At 35.3% G+C, this 24191-nt stretch overlaps 1 long non-coding RNA gene across 1 annotated transcript in view; it reads left to right on the top strand.

Annotated features, from left to right (window-relative positions):
- Positions 1 to 857: 857 nt before the first annotated feature.
- LINC00571 (long intergenic non-protein coding RNA 571) overlaps positions 858 to 24191 on the top strand; it is a 92416-nt gene continuing 69082 nt past the window's right edge. Inside the window, exon 1 of the long non-coding RNA NR_047500.1 lies at positions 858 to 958. This is a non-coding gene — a long non-coding RNA (long intergenic non-protein coding RNA 571). The remainder of the gene's footprint in view (positions 959 to 24191) is intronic.

Raw genomic sequence — 24191 nt, 5'->3', positions numbered from 1 at the left:
AGTCATAGAACAATCTGGTGAATAATAAATGATTGAATAATTGTTTCCTGGGAATCAATGCATCGCCTTTGAGTCTCTTAGTCTGTCAATCAACTGCATGACCATGCAAGTTAGGCAAGTTATGCAGTCTTGGTTTCCTTTTTGGTGAAATAGCTTAATAATAGATCTGTCTCATAGGTTTGTACTAAAGATGGAATGAAAATACCTATAAGTGAATTAAAAAGGTTAGAGTCTTAAAAAGTTCAATTTGAGTCTCAGGGACCCCTTTAGTACACACTGCCTTAAATTGGAGTGGGTTCTTCAGCAGCAAACAGTTGGTAAGTATTTCTCTGGAGACATTTACTGTATGCTACCCCAGAATTCCAGAAGACCCTGTACTTAACTATATTAATCAGCATTTTTATTATTGCCTGAATGAAAATAGAAGTAACGTTAATGAAATCTCTAAATCTGATAGGAGAGTTAATATTTGGTGTCAGAATTTAGTTGTAAAATCTTTAAACAGATTAAAATATGCCATAATCTAATAGAAATAATTATTTTTTAAAAGCAAGCAAACAAAAATTCACTGGACTTACAGGGTCTTGCTACACTTAAAAAATAATTGTAAGGAAAAAATTGGTTGATTATAGCATTACAACCCTAAGTACAGAAAAAAATAATATCTGTAACTGTTTATAGCATTATATATTCATATTTTAACATAGTATTGTGTTTACTTTTGTTAATCATGTTTTAAGGAGGATCTTGAAACAAAATGTATGTTCAAAAGAGAATAAGATGCAGTTATCTTTTAATTTGAGAAACAGTTGATGAGATTTAGTAGAAGATGGTGACATTGATGTTTTGTCTTTTAGGCCAAAAGATAAAAACAAGCAAGAAAGCAAACAAATAAAAGTAACAACAAAATTTAAGAACCCCTTGCATGGAAGGATGCTTATTTCCTCTGGACTGAAAGGTATGACTTATATCTAAAGTACGTACATTTGGGGGAAGGTGATTTTAGCTAAATGTGGGAGACATTGAACTTTCTTTTCCTTCTCTCCTAGAATCCCATTTCTTTTTATTTTAGGGCACTTGCCAAATTCTGTTGTAATGTTGACTTTACTGTCTGTCAACCTGAGTGTGAGCTACTTGAGACCATAGCGCTGAACCTTGAAGGAGTCATGGGCACTGGCACCCCACACAGTTGAAAATTTGTGTATCACTTTTGACTCCCCCCAGGCTTAATTAATAGACTACTGTTGACTGGAAGTCTGATCAATAACACAAACAGTCAATTAACATATATTTAGTTAGCGTATTATATGTAGTACAACTGTATTCTCACAGTGGTAGGCTAGAGAAAAGAAAGTGTTGTTAAGAAAATCATAAGAAAGAGGAAATATATTTACTATTCATTAAGTGGAAAAGGAGTATCACAAAAGGTCTTTATTCTTATCCTCTTCACATTGAGTAGGCTGAGGAGGAGGAGAAAGAGGAGAGGTTGGTCTTGCTGTCTCAGGGGTGACAGAGGAAAAAGAGGTGGAGGAGGTAGAAGAAGAGGCAGGAGAGATAGGCACACTAGGTGTAACTTTTATTGAACAAAATCTGGCTATAAGTGGATCCACACAGTTCAAACCCATGTTGTTCAAGAGTCAGCTATATTTTATTGTCTTGTTAATCCTTCACAATTATCACAGAGCCAGGTACACATACTTGAGAGATGTGTGTTAAATTGAGTATAATAGGTTATTTAATAAATAAAGACATCCAAGAACATGACTAGATGCATTTGCAAGGATATTGCCCCGAGATCCTGCAATTATCACACAACTATGAAGGCAAATAATGTAGATAATTTAGAAGTAATTTATTTTTGTTTTAGTTGGGAGTTCTAGAGATCTCTAAAGCCAAGTCTTCATGTCAATTCCATGAAGATTCATGAATCAGATGCAATAAGTTTGTTTCATTATGAATTCTTCATATGTGGATAAATTTTTATGGATTCATTAGAATTTAAAAAAAAAACCCATGCACACACACACACAAAACAAATAAAAAGCAAAACAACTAAGAATATCAGTAGTACCTCTTGAAGTAAGGCCAGAATCTATGACTAACTTGGCACATGAAGTATTTAATATCCTGGAAGTGATATTAGATTTTACTGGGGTGTGAATCACTCATTTTGTTTTTCTAGAATGTCAGTTTCTGCTATTTTTCTGAAAACCATATGTCATTATGAAAAGAATCATACTTCAAGTTTAAGGTGCTTTCAGTACTGAATATGATTCAGTATTGTTAACTTTTTGTGATTTAAAACCATAATATTCATCTCCATTACTTAAAAACATTTTGTTTGAGTATGAATAGAGATATTAAATGAGGCTCACCAAGATCCCATTTAATACTGGCAGAAATTTTCGCTGTGACATTTTGCAGATAAGAGCTTGTGATTCAAGAGACAAAAGGAATCTTTAGCTTTTTCACTTTAATTCTGGCTGGCATATTCTAACCCCTTTTATTTTCTAATGTCAGTTTTCTGAAATATATAAATGGATCCTCTATATATTGAAAATTATGCACTAGTTTTCATTGGTATAATTTCAGATTACATGTATGTTACTTCTATTATTTTATTTAAGTGTTCTTTCTTTTCTGTTGTTTTTGCCACAGTTTATGTTTTTCCCTTAGAGGTTTGGGTCACTGTTTTAAATATTTATATTTTCAACAAAGATATCTTATGAATAAATTAATCAAGTGATTGATAACACCAACACCAGTTGTTCCCACATACTAAAAATACTTCTAATAAAAATTATTTCAAAAATAAATATGAGTTACTTACAAAAAGAAAGAAATTTTTTATGGAATCTAAAGATATTGAGTTTTTTTAAATGAAGACAATTGGAAGTCCTAGCTAGAGCAATCAGGCCAGAGAAAGAAATAAAAGGCATCCAAATAGGAAATGAAGGATCAAACTATCTCTCATCACTGATGATACGATTGTATACCTAGAAAAGCCTAAAGACTCCACCCAAAGGCTCCTAAAGCTGATAAATGACTTCAGTGAAGTTTCAGGATACAAAATCAGTGTACAAAAATCAATAGCATTTCTCTACACCAATGATGTTCAAGCCAAGAGCCAATTCAAGAATGCAATCTCATTCACAATAGCTGCACACATGAAAATAAACCTAGGAATACAGCTAATCAAGGAAGAGAAAGATTTCTACAAGGAGAATTAGGAAACACTGTTAAAAGAAATCAGAGACAACACAAATGAAAAAACATTCCATGCTTATGGACTAGAAGAATCACTGTTGTTAAAATGGCCTTACTGCCCAAAGTAATCTACAGATTCAGTGCTATTCCTATCAAAGTACCAATAATATTTTTCACAGAATTAGAAAAAAAATTCTAAAATTCATATAGAATGAAAAAAGAGCTCAAACAGCCAAAGGAGTCCTAAGCAAAAAGAGCAAAGCTGGAGGCATCACACTACCTGAATACAAACTACACCATAAGGGTACAGTAGCCAAAACGGTATGATACTGACACAAAAACAGACACATAGACCAATGGAGCAGAATAGAGAACAAGAAATAAAGCTGCACCTCTACAGCCATCTAATCTTCAACAAAGTTGACAAAAATATGCAATGGAGAAAGGAATTTCTATTCAATAAAATGGTGCTGGTATAGCTGGTTAGCGATGTACAGAAAAATGAAACTGGACCCATACCCTTCAACATATAAAAAATTAATTCGAGGTGGAATAAATAATTAAATGTAAGATTTCAAACTATAAGAATCCTAGAGGAAAGCCTGGGAAACACCATTTTGGTTACCAACCTTGGGAAAGAACTTATAACTAAGTCCTCAAAAGCAATTGCAACAAAAACAAAAATTGACCAGTGAGACCTAATTAAGCGAAAGCACTTCTGCACAGTGAAAGAAGCTAACAACAGGGTAAACGAACAACCTACAGATTTGGAGAAAATATTTGCAAAGCTATGCACCTAACAAAGGTCTAATATCTAGAATCTATAAAGAACTTAAACAATGGAACAACCAAAACACAAATAACTTAAAAATGGGCAAAGGATATAAATAGATACTTCTCAAAAGAAGACATACATATGGCCAACAAATATATGAAGAAATGCTCAACATCACTAATCATCAGAGAAATTCATATTTAAAAAAATGAGATAGTATCTCACATCAATTACACCAATTAGAATGGCTATTATTAAAAAGCCAAAAAATAACAAATGTTGGTGAGGCTGTGGAGAAAAGGAACACTTATATACTACTGGCGTGTATTTAAATTAGTTCAGCCAATTTGCCATTCTGTGTCTTTTAATTTAGCACATAACAGAACCAAAGACAAAAACCACATGATTATCTCAATAGATGCAGAAAAGGCCTTCGACAAAATTCAACTGCCCTTCATTCTAAAAACTCTCAATAAATTAGGTATTGATGGGACGTATCTCAAAACAATAAGAGCTATTTGTGACAAACCCATAGCCAATATCATACTGAATGGGCAAAAACTGGAAGCATTCCCTTTGAAAACTGGCATAAGACAGGGATGCCCTCTCTCACCACTCCTATTCAACATAGTGTTGGAAGTTCTGACCAGGGCAATCATGCAGGAGAAAGAAATACAGGGTATTCAATTAGGAAAAGAGGAAGTCAAATTGTCCCTGTTTGCAGATGACATGATTGTATATTTAGAAAACCCCATTGTCTCAGCCCAAAATCTCCTTAAGCTGATAAGCAACTTCAGCAAAGTCTCAGGATACAAAATCAATGTGCAAAAATCACAAGCATTCCTATACACCAAGAACAGACAAACAGAGAGCCAAATCATGAGTGAACTCCCATTCACAATTGCTTCAAAGAGAATAAAATACCTAGGAATCCAACTTACAAGGGATGTGAAGGACCTCTTCGAGGAGAACTACAAACCACTGCTGAATGAAATAAGAGAGGACACAAACAAATGGAAGAACATTCCATGCTCATGGATAGGAAGAATCAATATCATGAAAATGGCCATACTGCCCAAGGTAATTTATAGATTCAATGCCATCCCCATCAAGCTACCAATGACTTTCTTCACAGAATTGGAAAAAACTACTTGAAAGTTCATATGGAACCAAAAAAGAGACTGCATTGCCGAGACAGTTCTAAGCCAAAAGAACAAAGCTGGAGGTATCATGCTGCCTGACTTCAAACTATACTACAAGGCTACAGTAATCAAAACAGCATGGTGCTGGTACCAAAACAGAGATATAGACCAATGGAACAGAACAGAGCCCTCAGAAATAATGCCACACATCTACAACCATCTGATCTTTGGCAAGCCTGACAAAAACAAGAAATGGGGAAAGAATTCCCTATTTAATAAATGGTGATGGGAAAACTGGCTAGCCATATGTAGAAAGCTGAAACTGGATTCCTTCCTTACACCTTATACAAAAATTAATTCAAGATGGATTAAAGACTTCAATGTTAGACCTAAAACCATAAAAACCCTAGAAGAAAACCTAGGCAATACCATTCAGGACAGAGGCATGGGCAAGGACTTCATGTCTAAAACACCAAAAACAATGGGAACAAAAGCCAAAATTGACAAATGGGATCTCATTAAACTAAAGAACTTCTGCACAGCAAAAGAAACTACCATCAGAGTGAACAGGCAACCTACAAAATGGGAGAAAATTTTTGCAATCTACCCATCTGACAAAGGGCTAATATCCAGAATGTACAAAGAACTTAAACAAATTTACAAGAAAAAATCAAACAACCCCCATCAAAAAGTGGGCAAAGGATATGAACAGACACTTCCCAAAAGAAGACATTTATGCAGCCAACAGATATATGAAAAAATGCTCACCATCACTGGCCATCAGAGAAATGCAAATCAAAACTGCAATGAGATACCATCTGACACCAGTTAGAATGGTGATCATTAAAAAGTCAGGAAACAACAGGTGCTGGAGAAATAGGAACACTTTTACACTGTTGGTGGGACTGTAAACTAGTTCAACCATTGTGGAAGACAGTGTGGAGATTCCTCAAAGATCTAGAACTAGAAATACCATTTGACCCAGCCATCCCATTACTGGGTATATACCCAAAGGACTATAAATCATGCTGCTATAAAGACACATGCACACATATGTTTATTGTGGCACTATTCACAATAGCAAAGACTTGGAACCAACCCAAATGTCCATCAATGATAGACTGGATTAAGAAAATGTGGCACATATACACCATGGAATACTATGCAGCCATAAAAAAGGATGAGTTCATGTCCTTTGTAGGGACGTGGATGAGGCTGAACACCATCATTCTGAGCAAACTATTGCACGGACAGAAAACCAAACACTGCATGTTCTCACTCATAGGTGGGAATTGAACAATGAGAACACTTGGACACAGGAAGGGGAACATCACACACTGGGGTCTGTCGTGGGGTGGGGGGAGTGGGGATGGATAGCATTAGGAGATATACCTAATGTAAATGATGAGTTAATGGGTGCAGCACACCAACATGGCACATGTATTTATATGTAACAAACCTGCACATTGTAAACATGTACCCTAGAAGTTAAAGTATAAAAATAAATAAATAAAATAAATTAGATCAGCCACTGTGGAAAGCAGTTTGGAGATTTCTCAAAGAAATTTAAACTACCATTCAACCTAGCAATGCCATTACTAGTATATATCCAAAAGAAAATAAATTGTTCTACCAAAAGACACATGCACACATATGTTCATTGCAGTACTATTCAAAATAGCATAGGCATGGAATTAACCTAGGTTCCCATCAACAGTGGATTCAATAAATAAAATGTGATACATAATACATCATGGGATACCATGCAGCCATAAAAGGGAATCAAATCATGCTCCTTGCAGCAATATGGATGCAGCGGGATTCCATTATCCTAAGCAAATTAATGCAGGAAGAGAAAACCAAATACCACTTGTTCCAACTTATAAGTGGGAGCTAAACATTGGGCACTCATTATATAAAGATGGCAACAATAAACACTGGGAAGTACTAGACGGGGTCAAGGATTGAGAAACTAACTATTGGATATTATGCTCACTACCTGGGTGATGGGATCATTTGTATGTCAAACCTCAGTCCCACACAACATACCCATGTAACAAATCTGCACATGTACCTCCAAATCTAAAATAAAAATCAAAATTGTAAAAAAACAAAGACAATTATTGTTTTGCTTTGAAGAGTTGATTTATAAATAATTTTTTTTTTTTTTTTTTTTTTGATACGGAGTCTCGCTCTTTCGCCCAGGCCGGAGTGCAGTGGCGCTATCTCGGCTCACTGCAAGCTCCTCCTCCTGGGTTCACGCCCTTCTCCTGCCTCAGCCTCCCGAGTAGCTGGGATTGCAGGCGCCCGCCACCATGCCCGGCTAATCTTTTATATTTTTAGTAGAGACAGGGTTTCAACGTGTTAGCCAGGATGGTCTCGATCTCCTGACCTCGTGATCCACCTGCCTAGGCCTCCGGAAGTGCTGGGATTACAGGCGTGAGCCACTGTGCCCGGCCGATTTATAAGTAATTTTAAAATCAGAAAAAAAGAAACAGCAGATAGAAAAGAGCAACATTATTTTAAGTTCAAAAAATTAAAAAAGCAGAAGAGATAAAACAAAGCAGTATCTCATACCAAAAGTAAAGATTATATCATTGAAATGTAATAAGACCATGCCTTACAAGTATTTCAGGAGCAAGAAGAATCTGGGGTCCAGACTGTCTAGCTAGCAGCAGATGGGAGACTTACACCCACTTCAACCTGGGCATAACTTTTTCTCTGCTGTGCATTTAGCAAAATATAAACCTTTATTTGCTACCTCAAAGGCTTTTTTCTTATAAGGCCTGGTATGCATTTCAGATTGTTTTTTTGGGGGGGCAATATTAGGTGTGTTACTCAGGAGGATTTACGGTGGTCAGTTTCACAGAATGTCTGGTCCTAAATTTTAAAATGTGTAAAAAAAAAAAAAATTACTGTAACTCACAGCTAGGGAGAACAGATATCCCAAGTTTGCCAGGAAATTCTGGTTTATACCTTGTGTTCAAGCACAATTATTAATAACTGCTGCATTTCACTTCCAACTGTGTCCCAGCTGAATGAAAATCCATCGTCACCCCATTTACAGATTACCAGTTGGGTTTTAATTAAGCCATTACCAACCAATCTGTAGCTCGGAGCTCCACTCCTCAAAGAGTAGTACTTGGACTAATCTAACACCCTGCGCATTCCATGGTAGCTTGTTAGAATTGCAGGCCTCACTCCAGATTTACTGAGTCAGAATATGCATTTTAATAATATCCCCAGGTGATTCACACATATAATAAAATTTAAGAAACACTAACCTATAAAAACAGATCAACTTAACATTTGTTTTAGGACAGTTCGTTCTTTGAAAAAGAGTATAAACACCTATACACAAAATATCAAGCAAAACAAAGAAAGCTGAAAAAAGCAAAGGAAAAAAAAGTCAATCTTTTTTCCCATTCTCATTTGCAATTAGATTGCTTTGTTCATTTTCCATTAGATTGTTAATTAACATAGCATTTTAAGAACTTTTATCTTTATACATTTAATTTTTAAAATTTTATGTTATTTAACATTGCATCTATCAAAAATGTAACCAAAACTTATGTATATAGTTTAAACAGACAACTATGAAGCTAATATCTATTTTTACCCTAGTCAAGGCTAGAAAGAGAATATGATTAGCATTTATGATGTACCCCAAGTTCCCTCCAAATGTTTCTATCTTTAATGTAGCTGCTATCCAAACTTGCAAAAATTATTTTCTCATTTTTCTTCATAGTTTTAACAAATGTATATGGATTCCCAAATTATACAATTTAATTTGCCATTTTAAAATTTATGTGAATGAGATAACACTGCTCATATGTAGGATTTTATTATTTGTTTTTGCTTATTCAACGTTATGTTTGTGAATTGACACAAGGTGCTATAAGTGATTATGATGTATTTTTTTATTGCAATATAATTTTCTATTATATGAAAATGTAAAAGCTAATGCATTTATTCTATTATTTATAGATTTGTTGGTCATTTTTCTGTTTTCGTTTAGTGACTAAAAACAAATAAGCATTCTATACATGTATGAAAGTGCAATATAGATCCAGGAATTAAATCGTTAATTTATAGTATATGTGTGTCCTTAGCTTTATTAAGTAATGACAATCTATTCTTCAGAGTGTTTATAAAAATTTACCCTCCCACCATTAGCGTTCTTATGTTTATTTCCATGCTTGCCAATTTTGCTAATTGGCAAGCATGGAAATAATTTTTTAATTTTTTATCAGTCTATCAGTCTATTTAAATTTTTATCAGTCTATCAGATGTGTTTTAAATTCTCATAACCATGAAAAATTAGGCATGTTGATGGTGTTTTCTTTGGAGGTTTGAGCATCTGAATATTCTTTTGTAAGCCAAATAGTCATGTTAGTTTAGTTATCTTGTCTTTTCACTTTCTTCAGGGTATGTGTGATGATCATAAATCTCTCCTTTTGATGTAGTTGAATTTATTATTATTTTTCTTTTATATTAGCATTTATTCTGTTGTTTAAGAAAACTTACCCTATTTTGAAATCACAAATCTATTTTATTATATTTATTTTTTATAAATCTTTACAGTTTTGCCTTCTAGATTTCAGTCTTCAAGCCACAGGAATTATTTTTAATATAGAATCACGTATAGATCTTCAATTTTCTTAATACTACTTATTTGATGTATGTTGCTCAGCTTTTCATATCAAATATCAAAATATGAATCAATATGTTTGGGTCTATTACATTTCATTAGATATTTGCCTGTATTGTTGGTAATGCTAAACTTTCTTTGTTACTATAAATATATAAAGTAAACACTGTAATGATTTATGAACCAAACTGATTTGATGGAGTTGAAAAACTCACTGTAAGAATTTCATAATGCAATCAGAAGTATCAATAGCAGAATAGACCAAGCTGAGGACAGAATCTCAGAGCTCAAATACCAGTTCTTTGAATCAACTCAGTGAGACAAAAATAATGAAAAGAGAATTTTAAAAAGTGAACAAAACCTCTGAGAAATAGGGGATTATGTAAAGAGACCAAACATATGATACGTTGATATCCCTGAAAGAGAAGGAGAGAGGGCAAGCAACTTAGAAAACATACTTTAGAATATTGTCCAGGAAAACTTCTCCAACCTCACTACACAGGTCAACATTCAAATTCAAGAAATTCAGAGAATCCCAGTGAGATAATACAAGATGACCATCCCCAAGACACATAATCATCACATTCTCCAAGGTCAATGTGAAAGAAAAAGTATTAAAGAAAGACAGCTAGAAAGAAGGGTGGGTCACCTATGTAGAGAACCCCATCAGGCTAATAGGAAACCTTTCAGCAGAAACCCTACAATCCAGGAAGGAATCGGCAGGGGGGGTGCTATATTCAGCATCCTTAAAGAAAAGAAATTCTAATCAAGAATTTCATATCCAGCAAAAATAAGCTTAATAAGTGAAGAAATAAGATCCTTTTAGACAAGCAAATGCTAAAGAAATTTACTGCTACAAGACGTGCCTTAAAAGAGGGCCTTAAAGGAGTGCTAACCATGGAAATGAAAGACCGTTACTGGCCACCATAAAAACACACTTAAATATATAGATTATCAATACTATAAAGCAAATACACAACCAAATTTATGTAACAACCAGGTAACAACACTATGACAGAATAAAATCCACATATGTCAATATTATCCTTGAACGTAATCTGGTTAAATGACCCATTTAAAAGGCACTGAATGGCAAGTTGGATTAAAAAAAGCACGATCCAACTGTATGCTGTCTTCAAGAGACTCGTCTCACATGCAATGACATCTATAGGCTCAAAGTCAAGGGATGGAGAAAAATCTCCTAAGCAAATGAAACACAAAAAAAGCATGGGTTGCTCTTCTAATCTCAGAGAAAACAGATTTTAAACCAAAAATGATCAAAAAGGACAAAGAAAGGCACTACATAATCATAACAATTTCATTTTTATAAGAAGACTTAAGTCTCCTAAATATGTATGCACCTAACACTAGAGCACCTAAATTCATAAAAAAGCTCTTAGAGACCTACAAAGAGACTTAGTTAACCACAGATTAATAGTGAGAAATGTCAACATCCCACTGAAAGTATTAGACAGATCATCAGTGCAGAAAACTAACAAAAATATTCAGGACCTAAATATAATATTGATACTGGTATATATACAATCCTAAGCCACGGGCTTAGTCCATGGGCTGTTAGGAACCAGGACACACAGCAGGAGGTGAGCAGCAGGCAAGCAAGTATTACTGCCTGAACCCTACCTTCTGTCAGATCATAGGCAGCATTAGATTCTCACAGGAGCATTAACCCTATTATGAACTGTGCATGCGAGGGATCTAGGTTGCATGCTCCTTATGAGAACATAATACCTCTGAAACCATCTCCCCTACCACAAGTTTGTGCAAAAATTGTCTTCCATGAAACCAGTCCCTGTTGTACAAAAGGTTGGGGACCACTGATCTACAGAACATTTCACCCAACAACAACAGAATTTTTTTCATCTGCACATGGCACATACTCTAAAATCAACCATATGCTTGGTCATAAAACAATATCCAGCAAATAAAAAAAAATCATAACAACCACACTGTCAGACCACAGCACATTAAAAATAGATGTCAATACTAAAAAGACGTCACAAACCAATTACATGGAAATTAACTAATCTGCACCTGAATGACTTGAGTAAACAATGAAATTAAGGCAGAAATCAAGAAATTCACTGAAATTAATGAAAATAAAAATACAACATACTAGAATCTCTGTGGCTTTCCTCAACTGACTTTATTACAATGCTTGTTCTTTTCTATAAATTAAGACAGTTTGAACGTTGGCCTTTGGTGTAAACAAGAAAAAATGGAATGACTCCAAGAAAATCCAGTCATTTCTTACACAGTATATCTTTCCATTCTGTCTCTGTTTAGTCAAATGTCAAGTTTAGGTCCCAAATATCTTTGTCTTTGTTAGTATTCTGCCTCGATGATCTGTCTAATACTGTATAATACAGCTAAAGTAGTAGTGAGGAAAGTTTGTAGCACTTAATGCTCAATCAAAAAGTTTGAAAGATCACCAATTAATAACCTAACATCACACCTGGGTGAACTAGAAAAACAAGCACAAACCAATCCCAAAGTTAGCAGAAGAAGTGAAATAGTTAAACTGGATGAAGCTGAGATAGAAAACCATAAAAAAGATAAATAGAAACAGAATTTTGTACTTTGAAAGAGTAAATAAGATTAATGAACTGTTAGCTAGACTAATAAAAAAAGAACATCATAATTAAAAAATCAGAAATAATAAAGGAGACATTACACTGACCCCACAGAAAAACAAAAACCCTCAGAGAATATCACAAACACTTCTATGCACACATACTAGAAAACCTAGAAGAAATGGATACATTCCTGGAAATATACAACCTCCCAAGATTGAACCAAAAAGAAATTGAAACCCTGATCAGGCCAATAATGCACTCTGAAATTAAATCGGTAATAAAATTTTTCTAACAATCAGAAAAATCCCTGGACCAGAAGGATTCACTGCCAAATTCTACCAAATATAAAAAGAAGAGCTGGTACCAATCCCACTGAAACCATTTCAAAAAATTGAGGAGGAGTGACTCTTCCCTTACTCATTATATGAGGCCAGAATCATTCTGATACCAAAACCTGACAGGAACAATAGAAAAGGAGAACTTCAGGCCAATATCCATGATGAACATAGACACAAAAATCCTCAGCAAAATAACAGCAAGCTGAATCCAGCAGCATATGAAGAAGCAAATCCATCATGATGAAGTAGAGTTTATTCCTGGATAGCAAGTTTGATTCAATATACACAAATGAATAAGTGTAATTTATCACATAAACAGAACTAAAAACAAAAACCATGTGATCATCCCAATAGATGTAGAGAAGGTTATTGACAAAATTCAACATCCCATCATGTGAAAAACCCTCAACAAGCTAGGCATCAAAGTAATATACCCCCAAATAAGGAATCACTTATGACAAACCCACAGCCATCATCATACTAAACAGGCAAAAGCTAGTACTTATCTTGAGAACTGAAACAAAACAAGGTTGCCTACTATCACCACTCCTATTCAACATAGTATGGGAAGTCTTACCCAGAACAATCAGGCAAGAGAAGGAAATAAAAGGCATCCAAATAAAAGACAGGAAGTTTAAATATCTCTGTTTGCAGATGATATGATTCTATACCTAGAAAACCCCATAGTATCTGGCCAAAGGCTCCTAGATCTGACAAACAACTTCAGCAAAGTTTCAGGATACAAAATCAATGTACAAAAATCAGTAGCATTTGTATACATCAATAATGTCCAAGCTGAGAGCCAAATCAAGAATGTAATCACATTGACAATAGCCACACACAAAAATCCCTAGGAATACAGCTAACCAGGGAGATGAAAGACCTCTACAATGAGAATCAGAAAACACTGCTCAAAAAACCAGAGATGATACAAACAAATAGCAAAACATTCTATACTCATGACCGGAAGAATCAATACTGTTAAAATGGCCATACTGCACAAACCAATTTATACATTGTATTAGTCCGTTTTCACTCTGCTAATAAAAATATACTCAAGACTGGGTAATTAATTCAGGAAAGAAGTTTAATGGATTCACAGTTCCACATGGCTTGGGAGGCCTCACAATCATGGCAGAAGGCAAGGAGGAGCAAGTCATGTCTTATATGGATGGCAGCAGGCAAAGAGAGAGCTTGTGCAGGAAAACTCCCCCTTATAAAACCATCAGATCTCATGAGACTTATTCACTATCATGAGAACAGCATGGGAAAGACCCACCCCCATGATTCAGTTACCTCCCACCAGGTCCTCCCACAACACATGGGAATTGTGGGAGCTACAATTCAAGATGAGATTTGGGTGGGGACACAGCCAAACCATAACACACATTCAATGCTTTTTTTTTTTTTTTTATTGACAGAATCTCACTCTGTTGCCCAGTAGGCTGGATGGAGTGCAGTGGCGATCTCAGCTCACTGCAAGCTCTGCCTCCCGGGTTCAAGCTATTCTCCTGCCTCAGCCTCCTGAGTAGCTGGGACTACAGGTGCCCGCCACCAGGCCCGGCTAATTTTTTGTATTTTTAGTAGAGACGGGGTTTCGCTGTGTTAACCAGGATGGTCTCGATCTCCTGACCTCGTGAGCCACCTGCCTCGGCCTCCCAAAGTGCTGGGATTACAGGCTCAATGCTATTTTTATCAAACTACCAATGACATTTTTACCAATTTTTAACATACTATTCTTACATTTATATGAAATCAGAAAAGAGCCCTCACAGTCAAAAGAATCCTAAGTAAAAAGAACAAAAACAGAGGCATCACGTTACCCAATTTCAAACAATACTACAAGGCTTCAGTAACCAAAACAGCATGATACTTGTCCAAAAACAGAAACATAGACCAATGGAACTGGTTAGAGAACCCAGAAAGAATGCAGCCTACCTGTAACCATCTGTTCTTTGACAAAGTTGACAAAACAAGCAATGAGGAAAGAGCTTCCTATTCAATAAATGGTGCTGGAATAACTGGCTAGACCTATGCAGTGGATTGAAACTAGACCTCCTTTTTCACCACCTACAAAAATCAACTCAAAATAGATGAAAGCCTTAAATGTAAAACTGAAAAATATAAAAGCCCTAGATAAAAACCTAGAAAATACCATTCTGGACATAGGCCCTGGCAAAAATTTCATGACAAAGACTCCAAAAGCATTTGCAAAAACAAAACAAAACAAAAACAAACAAAAAACCCAAAAAACAAAAAACAGTGATACCTACTTAAACTAAAGTGCTTCTGCAGACCAAAGGAAATGATCAACAAAGAAAACAGACAACCTACAGAATAGGAGAAAATATTTGCTAACTATGCATCTGGCAAAGGTGTAATATTCCAGAATCGATAAAGAACTTAAACAAATTAAAATGCAATACACAGACATGGACAGAGAGTTTTCAAAAGAACACATATATGCAGCCAAACAGTATATGCTCAACATCACTAATCATTAGAGAAATGTAAATCAAAACCAAAATGAGATACCATCTCACACTAGTTAGAATAGCTATTGTTAAAAAGTCAAAAAATAATAGATTCTGGCGAAGCTGTGGATAAAAGAGAATGCTCCTATGATGCAGGTAGGAATGTAAATTCGTTCAGCCACAGTGAAAAGCAGCATGGAGATTTATCAAAGAACTTAAAACAGAGCTACTATTTGACCCAATGATCCTATTACTGAGTATATACCCAAAGAAATATTAATTGTTCTACCACAAAGACACATATATGCATATGTTCATTGCAGCACAATTCTCATAGGAAAGACATAAAATCAACCCAATCAACCCAGATGTCCACTAATGGTGGACTGGATAATGAAAATGTGGTACCTATACACCATAGAATACTACACAGCCATAGAAAAGAATAAAATCACGTCCTTTGTGGCAATACTGATGGATCCGGAGGCCATTATCCTATGTGAATTAATGCAGAAACAGAAAACCAAATACCGCATGCTCTCTCTTAGAAGTAGGAGCTAAAAACTGAGCACACATGGACACAAAGTAGAGAACAATAGATGCCAGAGCCTACTTGAGAGTGGAGTGTGGGAGGAGAGTGAGGATGGAAAAACTACTCATCAGGTCCTATGCTTATTACCTGGGCGAGGAAATAATCTGTACAGCAAACCCCCACAATACATAATTTACCCATATAACAAGCCTGCACATGTACCTCCTGCACCTAAAATAAAAGTTGGGGGGAAAAAAAGAGGATATAAGAGTTTCCAAAAATAAATTGAAAACATTAATAGTTTTTCTAATCTTTGCATTTGTTTATGTTTGTATTTATTCTTCCAGCTGATTGGTGGGTAGAGAGTTCTTTGGGGGCAGACCTTTGACTACTGCTTTAATTTCTTTTATGAATGTAGGATTATTTGAGTATTCCATTGCTTGAGTCATTTTTAGTAAGTTCTATTTTTTTCTATGCATTTTCTAATATTTTTCTTAAAATATTTTGGAATATAAAATTATTTATTATCTCATAATATTACTTGTATTTATGTGCTCCCTTGTTATTCCTGTTATAATTTGTTGGACATTTTTTGCCCCCTCCTCATTAGTCAGTAGAAGATTTGTCAGCTTTATTAATCTTCTCAGATAACTAACTTTGAAGTTTTTCCTCCTCTTTTTTAGGTGGATACTTAGCTTCTTCATCAGCCTTTGTTATTTTATTTTCTGATATAGATTATATTAGTTTCTTAGAGCTCCACAACAAAGTACTACAAACTGGGTGGCTTAAAAAAAAAAACAGCATATATGTATCCTCTCACAATTCTGGAGGCTGGAGTTGAATGCTGAGTTCAAGGTGTCAATAGGGTCATGCTCCCACTGTAGGTTTTTTGGAAGAATTCTCCCTTGTCTCTTACATGTTCTGGTGGGTGTAGGCAATATTGGCGCTCTTTGGCTTAAAAATGTATCACTTCCATATCTTCCTGTATCTTCACAAGGCCTTTCCCCACCTGTGTGGGTCCGTATGTGTGTCCAAATTACCTATTATAAGGACAGCAGTCATTGTATTAGGGCCCATCTCAATACAATATAATTTAACTACATCTGCAAGACCTAATTTCCCTCTTCCTAGAAGCAGAGTGTTTCTATATTACAAAACATTTTCTAATTAATAAAGAAAAACATTAATCTCCCATGTTAAATTAGTCATTGTTCAAATCTTGGGACAATTTCTTTTTGTATTTTCATTATATATTCACCTAATGTAATACATGTAGCATAGGTATATTTATAATATATATACATATTTTTATCCCATTCTTCTTTTTATAAATAATTCTTCTTTCATTAACTATAGTAACAAGTTTTTTGTTTACAGATTTAAAACAAAACCACTATTCTATTTTTTAGAAATATCTAAAGTCTGTGACATGTATCAGAATAACTGTGTATCAAAAAATGTGTCTCTATTGTTATATAATTGACAGTATGTCAATAATTCTCAAAAAGTGATTAAAATCTTTATTTGTAAAAGTTACATCAAGTAAAAGATAAAACTTATTTAAAGATGAAAAAGCAATTAAATTGTCAAATAATTATATCTATAGGAAATTACTGTCTTTCAACTAGTAGGAAATTCCAGAGACTCATAATGATCAATAAACCATTTATCCAGTCCTCCAATTATGGATTTAAAAAATGGTTTTTCACATCTATTACAAACTTCCAAGTCCATTAAATTCCTCCTCACATCTATTACAAACTTCCAAGTCCATTATATTCCTCCCAAGTACAATTTATTGGCTGTGTAACCTATGTAGTATGTTCACCAAAATGTTTTTAATTTGCTTCTGTATACACATTTAAATCATATCTTTAGCCTGGCTGTAGTCAAGGGAGGTTATTTGACTAGTACTTGTCAACAGAATGTGTGTGTAATTATTGTATGTTACATGTACACTTACCCTCTAAAGACCCCTAAGTAACTTTTGGTACATTTTCTCTTTCATCAATACAATTGGATGTAAAGGATTTCAGTATTTTCAGAACACATGATGATGGGATTCCAAATTCCTGTGTTAAAAGTAGGATATCTGGCCTAAGGAACTGTTCAAACTGCTCCAATCTGAAATGTGAGTCAGATATAAACCATTACTGAGATAAACTGCTGAAATTTCAATATTTTCAATATGTAATGGCTGCCATAGTATAGACTGTGCTATCATGATCTACACGGTAATTGCTACCTTGACTTGCGACACTACTATAGGAAAATAAAAAGAGTGAAATAGGTAGCACTTGCTACAGATAATATATAGGATAAAATATATACCTGAGTTACTTGGAGGCAGCAAACAAAGACATATAGCAGCAAAGATAGATGAATATCCAGGTTATATAGTGGCAAAACACTGAATATAGTTTTCATCTCCTATATCTTGAAATGTAGATAATGTGCTTATTATATTTATAGCTCTAGGGGAATAATTTGGAAAATGGTACCATAATAGTGTGGATTGCTTACTGTTGGCTGTGTTTGGCAATGTATTGCAAGAAAGAGAAAATGGATTTGGTAAAGAATTGGCTGGTTGAAATAAGAAATGAAAGGGAATGAAGAGAGCCCAGAAACCCAGGGTTCTGCAGACTTTGAAAAATAGATTACATTTATCTCAAAGAAGTAAAATATGGATTTTAAAATGGCCTTGAATGTCGAGGGCTAATAAAAATGCTTGGCTGAATAAAGTCACTCAGAACAAATATCAGATTAAAAGGGCAGCCCCTGTAGCTGTTGTTCCAGATCACCTTACAGTAGCCACTATTAAGTTTTAAGAGTGAGCTGTGTACTTAAGAGCTTAGAAATAAGAAACACAAACTAAATTGATTATTTAATTGAATAATTGATGATCATCTTGCCTCATCCAGTAATAAATTCCCACCTGTCAGCATTTAGAACTGGTCTTACTCTCCAATTTCTGGTTCTGACGCCTACTGGTGTTAATTCATTACTTCAGCTGACATTTTACTGATTACAAAATTAGCTCATGACAGATCTTGGCAACTCTCGGGACCACAGGTGGGCTGTGATTGAGACAACAAACCCCAAAGGCCACATGTTGTAGGAGAAATCCGGTTTCACCTTGGTTCATATTTCAATGCTTTCTATCACCAACTGGAACAAATTTAGTGAACTGAGGAGGCTTTATTGACCAATCCGGCAGAGCCAAACTTTCCATGTCTCAGTCTGACACTTGCTCATGGCCCAGAGTCCACAGTGTTCCATCAGATCTGTGATCCTGTTCTTAGCCTTGCTGCCCCTGTTTGTTGCTGTTGTTTTACATAATTCATTTCCATAATTATAATACAGCTGTCTACATTCTTTTACTGGCTCTTGCTCATTGTTTTTCATTATCATGTATCCCATTCTATTTTATGAGAGCTTACTTTGTAACAGGCATCTTAGAAAAAGACAGTAGTTTTGTTTTTTGTTTTTGTAGAATTTGAAATAGATCAAGTCCTTGCTCAGGAGCATCAGGTACAATGGAGGATGAGAAGGAGTGGCAAAACTTAATGCTGAAGAAGTATGTGAGAGTGTCCAGGCTGAATGATGAGAGACTCCCCTTCACACCCACAATGCCCTCCCCAAATCACCTCTAGATATATGGCCTATTCCCTCAGACATACTATGAGACGATTCTTCCCTAGATAGTGACCAAAGGAAGAGAATAATAGGTAAATACTGACAGAAGCTGTACTTTTTCAGAGGCTCCTGGCTAATTATCCTGTGGTACAATCCACTAGGAACCCACAGTTGTCCATGGTATTCTACACAGAATTTTTTTAGGCCTTACACTTATGTATAAATGGATAGCCAAGAAATCAAAGATATATGAGGAAAGATTCCAACATCAAAGATAAAGAACAAACAAATAACAACAAACAAAGAAGGAGGGCAAGGAAATAAAGCTAATGGAGGAAACAGAGGGAAAGATAAAGCTATAATTTATGAAAAATTTAAAAAGAGGCCAAGCCAAAGTGACAATAAAAAAGAAAGAAAGAGAGAAGAAGAAAAAAAGAAAGAAAGAAAGAGGATAAGAAAAATTTGGTACATATACACCATGGAATACTATGCAGTCATAAGAAAGGAATGAGATCATGTCCTTTGCAGGGACATGGATGGAGCTGGAAGCCATTATCCTCAGCAAACTAACACCAGAACAGAAAACCAAACGCCACATGTTTTCACTTATAAGTGGGAACTGAACAATAAGCACACATGGACACAGGGAGGGGAACAACACACACTGGGGCCTGTTAGGGGAGGGAGAGCCTCAGGATAAACAGCTAAAGTATATGGGGCTTAATACCTAGGTGATGGATTGATAGGTGCAACCAACCACCATGGCACAAGTTTACCTATGTAACAAACCCGCACACATTGCACATGTATCCCAGAACTTAATATAAAATAAAATTTAAAAAAAGAAAAAGAGTCGGGGTACAGTGGCTCATTCCTATAATCCCATTGCTTTGGAAGGCAAAGGCAGAAGAATTGCCTGAGGCCTGGAGTTTGAGACCAGCCTGGGCAATATAGCAAGACCCCCATCTTTATAAAGAAAAAAATTAGCCAGGCATGGTGGCAGGTGCTTGTAAGTCCTAACTAATTAGGAAGCTGAGTGGGGAGGATCACTTGAGGCTTGGAGTTCAGGGTTACAGTGAGCTACGGTCTCACCACTGCACACCAGCCCGGGTGACTTAACAAGCCCTGTCTCAAAAAAAAAAAAAAGATGTAAAAAACTACATCTGAAATTCTGACAAAAACGAACAAGCGAAATGGACAAAAGGGTTAAGTGGTAATGTGAAGCTAAGTCCTGGAAAGCAAATTCAAATGACAAAGAGATGAATAGTAAGAGTTGTAAAAATCAAAGGTTCAATCTAAGATGTCCAACATCTGAAAAGAAAACACCACTTATAGGCTAGAATAGGTGAAATACATGCGGTGACATCATTTTTAAAATCTTATGAATATTTCTCAAAAGGCAGAATACAGATTTCCAAACAGAAAAGCTTACACAGTTTCCAGCATAGCAAATTAAAAAAAAATCACCAAGCCATAAGTTATAAAATCTCAACATGTTCAAGATAAATGGCAAATCATACAAATTCCAGAAAGGTCAAAGGAATTACTCCTATATACAGGTATTTGAATGCCAGTGAACTTTTCAAGAACAGCATTGGACTAGTTAGAAAACAGTAAGACTTTCAAGTTCTTGATGAAAGATGTAGAATTCTATATCCAGCCACGCTATGAGACTTGTAGTAAAGTATTTTCGGATGCATGTCCTTAAAAATATGCCCTCCATGCTCTCTTTCTCCAGCAGCTTCTGTATGACATTCACCACAAAAAAAAATGAGTGAAAAAGGAGAAAAATATACATGAAGAGACATATTTAGAAAACACAAAATCCAACACAAGAGTAAATTCCTTGAAAACTGGTGAGGGACAAATGGTTCCAGGAAATCAGCTGTATAGGAGGCACTTAGAAATTTGCAAAGGTTAGCACAAGATGATAAAAGGCTGCAGGAGGGATATCTCAAAGAAAATGAAAATGGATTTTGTAGATTACCTGACATATGGAGATCTTAGGAATATTTTACAATTTTGCACAGGAATAGTTTTTATTATAAATACAGAAAATCCAGCAATAAAAAATGGGGCAATTAGAAACAGCAAAAAATAATAAAACTTTTATAAAGGAAGCATATGTGGACTATATGTTTAACTGTAAATTATGTACACTCAGCTCTTTGTATTTGCGGGTTCTGTATCTGCAAATTCAACTGACTATAGATCAAAAAGACTTGAATAAAGAATAGCACACCAAAAAAATAATAAAAATAAAAAATACAGTACAGCTATTCACATAGCATTTACATTGTGTTAGGTATTATGAATAATCTAGAGATGATTTAAAGTATACAGGAGGATATACACAGATTATATGCAAATACTATACCATTTTATATAAGTGACTTGAGCATCCACAGACTTAGGTATCCATTGGGGTTATAGAACAAATTCCCCATGGATACTAAGGGAAGATGGGAAGATACACACACACACACACACACACACACACACACACACACACACATACATACATATACATGTATATATGAACACATAGAATATCAAAATTGTGACATAATATTGGGAGAGAAGGAAGGCTTTTTGTGGAGGAGACTGAGTAGTATAACGTGGTAAATTTCACACTTGATCTTAGCCGTAAGGTCAAGAAGCAATAAAGTCCTAAATTTTTATTTCAATATTAGAACTAAGCAGATAATGTTTAAGATAGAAAATTGGGAAACAGGTTTATGAGCATATTATTTACACTTATGGAGGTAAATTCAGGGCAAAAAATGAAAACATAGAAAGACCTTTTTTGGGGGGAATCTGGATGGAGTTTAGAACAGTTAATATTCATCATAAAACATGTATGTTTGCTTTTTAACCAATATACATGATTAATTTGAAAACAAATAATAAGTAAATAAAATAAACACAAAGTGAAAGAATTTTGCATTTTCCTGAGATTGCAAGAAGTTTCTGCTGAATAAATTCTGGTGGGTTAGTCAAGGTTATGTTGCAAGGGAAGTTGAAGAATGAGTGGGGGCTTGAGTTTTGGCCTTGTCTTAAGGGGGATTTAAAGTTACTGAATAATATCAATGTAAACCATAATTAAATGTGCATTTTAAAAAGGTCTGTGTGTCATCCTATGGAAAATACTTTGTTCACTTTTTCCATCTAAGGCTGTAAGGACCTTGTTTTGACAGCTATTTGGACTGTTTACCTTTTAGTCCAGCCCTATTTGCTTTTGCCTCATTCTGACGCACTTACCTCCCCAGATACCCACCCAGTCACACTAGAGCTGAAGCCTTGCTAACTTGCACAAATACTGGGAAACCTTCAGTCTGCCTAAATCCAGGGACTCGGCAAACTTATTCTGTGAAGGGCCGGACAGTAAACAACTTTGTCGTGTGTGTCCATGTATGTATGTGTGTGTACAGTTGACTCTTTAACAATGTGGGGGTTAGGGGTACAGATCTCCCAGGCAGTAGAAAATTTGTGTATAACTTTTGATTCCCCACTTAACTACTAATAGCTTACTGTTTACCAGGAGGCTTACTGATAACATAAACATTCAATTAACATGTATTTTGTTTATTATATGTATATACCATATTCTTATAATGAAGTAAGCTACAGAAAATAAAATTTTCTCTATTAAAAATCATAAGGAAGAAAAATATTTACTTTTCATTAAGTGGAAGTGGATTATTCCAAAGGTCTTCATCTTGATGTCTTCATGTTGAGCAGGCTGAAGAGGAGTAGGAAGAGGTGTTGGTTTCACTGTCTCAGGGGTGGCAGAGGCAGAAGAAAGTCCACATATAAGTGGACCCATGCAGTTAAAACCAAGTTGTTCAAAGGTCAATTGGTCAACTGAATGGATAGATAGATAGATAGATAGACAGATAGATAGATAGATAGATACACACACACACAGGTACACACATATATAATTATTTTGGGCCCACAATCCTTTAAAAATCATTCTTAGTTCACTGGCCATACAGAAAAAAGCAACATGAAAACAACATTCATTTAGCCCTTGGGTCATAGGTTGAAAATCCCTGATCTAACTCATGCTTTATCATAGACCTTTAAGGAAATTTAACATTGATTTCATTTGTGCTATTTATAAATACATCATATATTGTAATGTTTTCACATCACATTGCCTTTTTGAAATTTTCAGTCTCCCTATTAATCATCTAGATAAAGCGTAGACCCCTTATTGGTGGCTTCAAAGCACTTTGTTAACCAGTTTCACTTTCCCCACTATTAATTTCTTAACTATGCCTTTTCCCAGACATTCAACAAAGCAGCTCAATATGCCATAAACCATCTACATGGAATCACTCAAAGTATGTGTCACAGTATAGATCCCTAGGCCCAGTTAAGCACATTAAAGAGAACTGTGGGCTCCATAAATGGTTATTTTTAAGAAGCTAAGTGATTCTAATACGCTTTCTGTTCTGAAAGCACTGTATCCTATCAATGCGCTTACCTCACACAAGCTTCTGAAGGACAATAGCCTTCACTGCAGACTTCCCTGTAAGAGTCCCAACTCCTGGAGCAGCTTCACTCTTGATATTTGCCACAGGCCTCGCTAACATAATTCTGTCCCCATTAGTATGGAGCAACTTGCAGATATACAACGTTGCATCTCCTCTCACCATCTGACTCTTTTGTATGTGTATGTTATTGTGTTTTTTTATGTAAAGGGAGTTCCAGGCCCATGTGCGGAAATAAGCCTCGTTGCAAATTATTCCATAATTAGGGATGGCTTCTACCCAAATATAGAAGAAAACCTGCTTCGAAATAACAATATAAAAAGAAATCTGTCTAATTCTGACA

Source organism: Homo sapiens, chromosome 13 (genome assembly GCF_000001405.40).
Source record: "Homo sapiens chromosome 13, GRCh38.p14 Primary Assembly".
Classification (NCBI taxonomy): domain Eukaryota; kingdom Metazoa; phylum Chordata; class Mammalia; order Primates; family Hominidae; genus Homo; species Homo sapiens.
This window is presented reverse-complemented; position numbering and strand designations above follow the sequence as displayed.